At 37.8% G+C, this 8,831-nt stretch overlaps 1 annotated feature.

Moving 5' to 3' along the window:
- Positions 7,877 to 8,377: an enhancer, noted in NCBI's record as "H3K4me1 hESC enhancer chr12:83826060-83826560 (GRCh37/hg19 assembly coordinates)". NCBI's record gives its function as "activates a minimal SCP1, AML or CMV promoter by ChIP-STARR-seq in primed H9 embryonic stem cells {active_cell/tissue: H9 hESC(primed)}" and the evidence as "EXISTENCE:reporter gene assay evidence [ECO:0000049][PMID:30033119]".

Here is an 8,831-nt window from a genome sequence, read left to right on the forward strand (position 1 = left end):
ATATATTTCTATTGATATACGTGCCACATTATAGTAAAATCATTTGTTTATTGTTCAGTGATCTCCTTGAAGGGAGGAACCATGTCTTATTTTCCTTTTTATCCCCAGTGCATAGCACAATGTCTGGCACATTGAACGTATTCAAGGTATTTATTAACTTAAGTTTAATAAATATTCTCTCTGTGTCAGACTTTGAATAAACTATTTAACGAATTTTAGCTTTAGTCCCTCAAAACAATCACAGATAAATACTACTCAGTCTTATTTTAGAAGTGTGAAAACAGAAATGGAGAGAAGTTAATTGATTTGTACAAGGTACCATGTATAATTGAGCTGGTATATCCAATAGTCACTATAAATACTGTATCTAGAGCCCAAGGTTTATTAATGTGTATGAAATGTTAAAAATAGTGTCTGAAATATGAACAAATTAAAATGAATGTTTAAATGATCACTAAATTTAACAGACTTCATACATATTATGTTTAGTCTTAATAAAAATTTCCTTATATTTAAACATTATTCGTAGATAGATTTCTGACTTCCTACAATGATTACAAAGAAATCATAGCCCATTTAAATTGAGTTATTCATTATCAATGGGATCAAAAACAAATTAAAAGTTTCAAAATTACAGCAAACATAGTTAATAGGGCATGCACTCAGTTTTATATGCATTTAATAGAATATAAAGGTGGAATGTGCTGAATTTAAGTGATCAGTGTCTAACAAGTATTATTAAAGTATGGGATGAAACAAATGATAGAATTGTCTTTGACAATCTTACTATTCTACACTGCCTTCTGCCATGACTATGTTATTTGGCAACTAATCAGTATTTTGATAATTAAATCAAAACTACTTGAAATTTATTAGCAAAAATAAATTTTTTTTTTCTTGTATAAGTATTTACTGAAAACATAAAAATTTGCCCACAGCTGTCCAGTTTATAATTAAGCATTTTGGCCTTTGAAGTATAAATATATAAAGCTCAATTATACCTCAAATATTGTAATGAGAGGATTATTTTACATTAATTTTTATTTCCTGTGTTTTTAACATCTAGCATTCTATTTAAGCTTCTACTTAATTATTAAATGTTTTGATTAAACCGTCTTTCCATAAATTGAGTCAGTTTGTTAAATAAATATAGCTTTCATCACTATTAACCTTTATTTGAATTGTCTAGTGATATTAATTGCATTATAATACTAATATTCGTTTTTATAGCTTTTTTGAGATATGTTTCATATGCTATAAAATTCACCCGTTTAAAGTGTAAAGCTTGGTAGTTTTTAATGTGTTCAGAGTTTTGCAACTATCACCACAATTGCAATTTGCTTAGTATAATGGTCTCCAGCTCCATCCATGTTGCTGCAAAGGACATAATATCATTTGTTTTATGGATGTATAGTATTTCATGGTAGACATGTACCACACTTTCTCTTTTTTTTTGCTTTTAACTTTATAACTTTAATTAGAAAGTAGATTTAGTGGTTTTCAAAATGCTCTGTGTATTGCGCAGTGTTACAGAGATCCAGACAGTGATATGTCCATCCGAGATCTACACATAAGAAGACAGACATCTATTGAGTTTAATTTTTTTTTTTTTTTTTTTTTTACTTTAAGTTCCAGTATGCAAGTGCAGAACCTGTAGGTTTCTTACATAGGTATACATGTGCCATGGTGGTTTGCTGCACCTAACAACCTGTTAACTAGGTTTTAAACCCTGCATGCATTAGCTATTTGTTCTAATGCTCTCCCTCCCCTAATCCCCAACCCCCTGAGTGGCCCCAGTGTGGGTTGTTTCCCTCCCTGTGTCCATGTGTTCTCATTGTTCAACTCCCACTTATGAGGGAGAACGTGCGTTGTTTGGTTTTCTGTTTCTGTGTTAGTTTGCTGAGAATGATGGCTTCCGGCTTCATTTATGTCCTTGCAAAAGACATGATCTCATTCCTTTTTATGGCTGCATAGTATTCCATCGTGTATATGTACCACATTTTCTTTATTCAATCTGTCACTGATGGGCATTTGGGTTAGTTCCATGTCTTTGTTACTGTGAATGGTGCTGCAATAAACATATGTGTGCATGTATCTCTATAATAGAATGATTTATAATCCTTTGGGTATATATCCAGTAATGGAATTGCTGGGTCAAATGGTATTTCTGGTTCTAGATCCTTGAGGAATCGCCACACTGTCTTCCACAATGGTTGAACTAATTTACATTCCTACCAACAGTGTAAAAGCATTTCTATTTCTCCACAGCCTTGCCACCATCTGTTGTTTCTTGACATTTTAATAATCACCATTCTGACTGGCATGAGATGGTATCCCATTGTTGTTTTGATTTTCACTTCTCTAACAATCAGTGATGATGAGCTTTTTTTTTTAAATATGTTTGTTGACCACATAAATGTTGTCTTTTGAGAAATGTCTGTTCATATCCTTTGCCCACTTTTTGATGGGTTTGTTTATATTTTTCTTGTAAATTTGTTTAAGTTCTTTGTAAATTCTGAATATTAAACCCTTGTCAGATTGGCAGATTTCAAAAATTTTTCTCCCGTTCTGTAGGTTGCCATTCTTTCTGATCATAGTTTCTTTTGCTATGCAGAAGTTTTTTAGTTTAATTAGATCCCATTTATCAATTTTGGCTTTTGTCGCATTTGCTTCTGGCATTTTTGTCATGAAGCCTTTGCCCATGCCTGTGTCCTGAATGGTATTGCCTAGATTTTCTTCCAGGATTTTTATGGTTTTGGGTTTTACATTTAAGTCTTTAATCCATCTTGAATTAATTTTTGTATAAGGTTTAAGGAAGAGGTCCAGTTTAAATTTTCTGCATTTGGCTAGCCAGTTTTCCCAGCATCATTTTTTAAATAGGGAAGCTTTTCCCCATTGCTTGTTTTCATCAGGTTTGTCAAAGATCAGATGATAGTAGACTTGTGATCTTATTTCTGAGTTCTCTGTTCTGTTCCATTGGTCTATATATCTGTTTTGGTACCAGTACCATGCTGTTTTGAATACTGTATTTTTGTAGTATAGCATAAAGTCAGGGAGCATGATGCCTCCAGCTTTGTTCTTTTTCCTTAAGATTTTTTTGGCTAGAGGGGCTTTTTTGGTTCCATATGAATTTGAAAGTAGTTTTTTTTTTTTCTAATTCTGTGAAAATGTCAGTGGTAGTTTGATGGGAGTAGCATTGAATCTATAAATTACTTTGGGCAGTATGTCCGTTTTCAAGATATTCTTCCTATCCATGAGGATAGAATGTCTTTCCATTTGTCTGTGTCCTCTCATTTCCTTGAGCAGTGGTTTGTAGTTCTCCTTAAAGATGTCCTTCACATCCCTTGTTAGCTGTATTCCTGGGTATTTTCATCTCTTTGTAGCAATTGTGAATGGAAGTTCATTCATGATTTGGCTCTCTCCTTGTCTATTGTTGATGTATAGAAATGCTCGTGATTTTTGCACATTGATTTTGTATTCTGTGTAAGTTTCTTATCAGCTTAAGGAGTTTTTTTGGCTGAGATGATGAAGTTTTCTAAATATTGCATCATGTCATCTGCAAACAGAAACAATTTAACTTCCTCTCTTCCTACTTGAATACCTGTTATTTCTTCCTCTTGCCTGATTTCCCTGGCCAGAACTTCTACTACTTTGTTGAATAGGAGTGGTGAGAGAAGGCATCCTTGTCTTGTGCCAGTTTTCAAAGGGAATGCTTCCAGCTTTTGCCCATTCAATATGATAATGGCTATGTGTTTGTCATAAATAGCTCTTATTATTTTGAGATATATTCCATCAATATCTAGTTTATTTTCCATCAATACCTATATTATTTTGAGATATATTCCATCAACACCTAGTCTATTGGTTTTTTTTAGCGTGAGGTGATGTTGAATTTTATCAAAGGCCTTTTCTGCATCTATTGAGATAATCATGTGGCTTTTGTTATTGGTTCTGTTTATGTGATAGATTACGTTTATTGATTTGTGTATGGTGAACCAGGCTTGCAACCCAGGGATGAAGCTGACTTGATTGTGGTGAATAGACTTTTAGATGTGCTGCTGGATTTGGTTTGTCAGTATTTTACTGAGAATTTTTGCATCGCTGTTCATCAGGAATATTGGCCTGAAGTTTTCTTTTTATTTTATTGTATTGTATTGTATTATTATACTTTAAGTTTTAGGGTACATGTGCACAATGTGCAGGTTAGTTACATACGTATACATGTGCCATGCTGGTGTGCTGCACCCATTAACTCGTCATGTAGCATTAGGTATATCTCCTAAAGCTATCCCTCTCCACCTCCCCCCACCCCACAACAGTCCCCAGAGTGTGATGTTCCCCTTCCTGTGTCCATGTGTTCTCATTGTTCAATTCCCACCTATGAGTGAGAATATGTGGTGTTTGGTTTTTTGTTCTTGCGATAGTTTACTGAGAATGATGATTTCCAATTTCATCCATGTCCCTACAAAGGACATGAACTCATCATTTTTATGGCTGCATAGTATTCCATGGTGTATATGTGCCACATTTTCTTAATCCAGTCTATCATTGTTGGACATTTGGGTTGGTTCCAAGTCTTTGCTATTGTGAATAGTGCTGCAATAAACATACGTGTGCATGTGTCTTTAGAGCAGCATGATTTATAGTCCTTTGGGTATATACCCAGTAATGGGATGGCTGGGTCAAATGGTATTTCTAGTTCTAGATCCCTGAGGAATTGCCACACTGACTTCCACAATGGTTGAACTAGTTTACAGTCCCACCAACAGTGTAAAAGTGTTCCTATTTCTCCACATCCTCTCCAACACCTGTTGTTTCCTGACTTTTTAATGATTGCCATTCTAACTGGTGTGAGATGGTATCTCATTGTGGTTTTGATTTGCATTTCTCTGATAGCCAGTGATGGTGAACATTTTTTCATGTGTGTTTTGGCTGCATAAATGTCTTCTTTTGAGAAGTGTCTGTTCATGTCCTTTGCCCACTTTTTGATGGGGTTGTTTGTTTTTTTCTTGTAAATTTGTTTGAGTTAATTGTAGATTCTGGATATTAGCCCTTTGTCAGATGAGAAGTTTTCTTTTTTTGTTGTGTCTTCCTGGTTTTGATATCAAGGTGATGATGGCCTCATAAAATGAGTTAGGGAGGAGTCCCTCCTTTTCAGTTGTTTGGAATTGTTTCAGAAGGAATGGTACCAGCTCCTCTTTGTACCTCTGGTAGAATTTGTCTGTGAATCCATCTGGTCCTGGGCTTTTTCTGGTTGGTAGGCTATTAATTACTGATTCAATTTCAGAGCTTGTTATTAGTCTATTCAGGGATTTGGTATCTTTCTGGTTTAGTCTTGGGAGGGTGTATGTGTCCAGGAATTTATCCATTTCTTCTAGATTTTCTAGTTTATTTGTGTAGAGGTGTTTTTAGTATTCTCTGATGGTAGTTTGTATTTCTGTGGGGTCAGTGTGATAACTCCTTTATCATTTTTCATTGCGTCTACTTGATTCTTCTCTCTTTTCTTCTTTATTAGTCTAGCTAGCTGTCTATTTTATTTTTTCAAAAACCAGCTTTGGATTCGTTAATTTTTTTCAGAAGGTTTTTCTTATCTCTATCTCCTTCAGTTTGGCTCTGATCTTAGTTATTTCTTATCTTTTGCTATCTTCTGCATTTGTTTGCTTCTTTCCTCTCTAGCTCTTTTAATTGTGACGTTAGGGTGTTGTTTTTAGATCTTTCTAGTTTTTTGATGTGGACATTTAGTGCTATAAAGGTTCCCTCTTAACACAGCTTTAGCTGCACCCCAGAGATTCTGGTATGTTGTCTCTTTGTTTTCATTGGTTTCAAAGAACTTCTTGATTTCTGCCCTAATTTCATTATTTACCCAGGAGTCATTGAGGAGCAGGTTCTTCAATTTCCATGTAGTTGTGTGGTTTTGAGTGAGTTTCTTAATCCCGAGTTCTAATCTGATTCCACTGTGGTCTGAGAGACTGTTATGATTTCAGTTCTTTTGTGTTTGCTGAAGAGTGTTTTACTTACAATTATGTGGTCGATTTTAGAGTAAGTGCCATGTGGCACTGAGAAGAATGTATATTCTTTTGTTTTGGATAGAGAGTTCTGTAGATGTCTATCAGGTCTGCTTGGTCCAGAGCTGAGTTCAAATCCTGAATATCCTTGTTAATTTTCTGTCTCATTGATCTGTCTAATATTGACAGTGGGATGTTAAAGTCTCCCGCTATTATTATGTGGGAGTCTTAGTCCCTTCGTACGTCTGTAAGAACTGGTTTTATGAATCTGGGTGCTCCTGTATTGGGTACCTATATGTTTAGGATAGTTAGCTCTTCTTGTTGCATTGATCCGTTTACCATTATGTAATGCCCTGCTTTTTCTTTTTTGATCTTTTTTGGTTTAAAGTCTATTTTGTCAAGGACTAGGATTGCAATCCCTGCTTTTTTCTGGTTTTGCTTGGTAAATTTTCCTCCATCCCTTTATTTTGAGCCTATGTGTGTCTTTGTATGTGAGATGGGTCTCCTGACTACAGCACACCAATGGGTCTTGACCCTTTATCCAGTTTGCCAGGCTATGTCTTTTAATTGGGGCATTTAGCCCATTTACATTTAAGATAATACTGTTTTGTGTGAATTTGGTCATGTCATCATGATCCTAGCTGGTTATTTTACACACTAGTTGATGCTGTTTCATCATAGTGTCATTAGTCTTTATATTTTCATGTGTTTTGCCATGGCTGGTACTGGTTTTTCCTTTCCATGTTTAGCGCTTCCTTCAGGAGCTCTTGCAAGGCAGGCTGGATGGTGATGAATTCCATTGGTATTTGCATTTCTGAAAAGGATTTTTATTTATTCTTCCCTTATGAAGCTTAGTTTGGCTGGATATGAAATTCTGGGTTAAATTCTTTTCTTTAAGAATGTTGAATATTGGTCCCCACTCTCTTCTGGCTGGTAGCATTTCTGCTGAGAGATTCACTGTTAGTCTGATGAGCTTCCCTTTGTATAGGCCCTGGCCTTTGTCTTTGGCTGCCTGTAACATTTTTTTCCTTCATTTTAACCTTGGAGATTTTGATGGTTATGTGTCTTGGGGTTGATCTTCTTAGGAGTGTCTTAGTGGTGTTCTCTATATTTCCCAAATTTGAATGTTGTCCTGTCTTGCTGGGTTGGGGAACTTTTTCTGGATAATATCCTGAAGTGTGTTTTCCAACTTGATTCCATTCTCACCATCACTTTCAGGCACTCCAATCAGTTGTAGGTTCAGTCTTCTTACATAGTCCCATATTTCTTGGAGGTTTCTTCATTCCTTTTTCTTTTTTTTTTTCTCTAACCTTGTCTGCCTGCCTTATTTCAGCAAGATAGTCATCCATCTCTGATATTCATTCTTCTGCTTGATTGATTTGGCTATTGATACTTGTGTATGCTTCACGAAGTTCTCATGTTGTGTTTTTCAGCTCCATCTGGTCATTTGTGTTCCTCTTTATACTAGGTATTCTAGTTTGCAGCTCCTGTAACCTTTTATCAAGGTTGTTAGCTTCTTTGCATTGGGTTAGAACATGCTCCTTTACCTTAGTGAAGTTTGTAATTACCCACCTTCTGAAGCCTACTTCTGTCAATTCGTCCATGTCATCTTCTGTCCAGTTCTGTGCCCTTACTGGAGTGGTGTAGTGATCATCTGGTGGAGAACTGACATTCTGACCTTCTGGGTTTTCAGTGTTTTTTCATGGATTATTTCTCATCTTTGTGAGTTTGTCTAGTTTCAGTCTTTGAGGCTGCTGACCCTTGGATGAGGTTTTTATGGGGACTCTTTTTTTGTTGATGCTGTTGTTGTTGCTTTCTGTTTTTTTCTTTCAATAGTCAGCTCCCTCTTCTGTAGGGCTGCTGTGGTTTGCTAGGGGGTTCACTTCAGGCCCTATTCATCTGATTCACTACCACACCTGGAGATGTCACTCATGGAGGCTGGAAAATAGCAAAGATGGGTGCCTGCTCCTTCCTCTGGGATCTCTGACCTCGAGAGGCACTGACGCGATGCCAGTAGGAATGCTCCTGGATAGGGTGTCTGACAACCCCTAGTGGTAGGTTTCACCCAGTTGGGTGGCACATGAAGCAGTACTCATTTAACCAAGTACTTTGGCTGCCCCTTGGTGGAGGGGGTGTGCTGTGCTGGAGGGAAACCCCCTTGTCTGGGTTGCCTGGATTTCTCAGAGCTAGCAGGAGGAAAGACTAAGTGTGCTGGTCTGCAGAGACTATGGCCACCTCTCCCCTAGGGACTCAGGCTCAAGGAGATCAGAGTTCTGTCCCTGAGCCCCTGGCTGGAGTTGGAGTTCCTGCAGGGAAGCCCTGCAGCTGCAGGGGCTGCCTCCCCTCCCCCAAGAGATCAGCAGCCTTAGAAGGCAGCCGCAGCAGTGGTGATGGCCAATGCTCCCCCCAGGAACTCTGCAGGCTTAGGCAGATTCTAGCTTAGTGGCTGTTGAGAATCTGTGTGGCTCCGTGGTTCACAGCCAAGGCCCTGGAGGCATGGGCTCACAAGTGGAATTTTCCAATCCATGGGTTTCACAGTTTTGTAGGTAAAGCACAATTTCCCAGGCTGGGTAGCATGCTCACTCACTGCCTCCCTTGGCTGGGGATAGGGGCTCCTCTGCCCTGTGTGGCTCTCAGGTGGACCACCCACACCACACTACTCTTCCTTTCCCTCCGTAAGTCATGCCAGCTGCCTAGTCAGTCCTAATGACAGATCTGGATACCTCAGTTGCTGGTGCATGATTCACACCCTGTTTTGGATCTTTTTGATGGGAGCCTGCAATCACCACTACTTCTGGTTGGTCATCTTGGCCTCCCTCATCCCCT

The sequence above is a fragment of the Homo sapiens genome, chromosome 12 (genome assembly GCF_000001405.40).
Source record: "Homo sapiens chromosome 12, GRCh38.p14 Primary Assembly".
NCBI classification, from domain to species: Eukaryota; Metazoa; Chordata; class Mammalia; order Primates; family Hominidae; genus Homo; species Homo sapiens.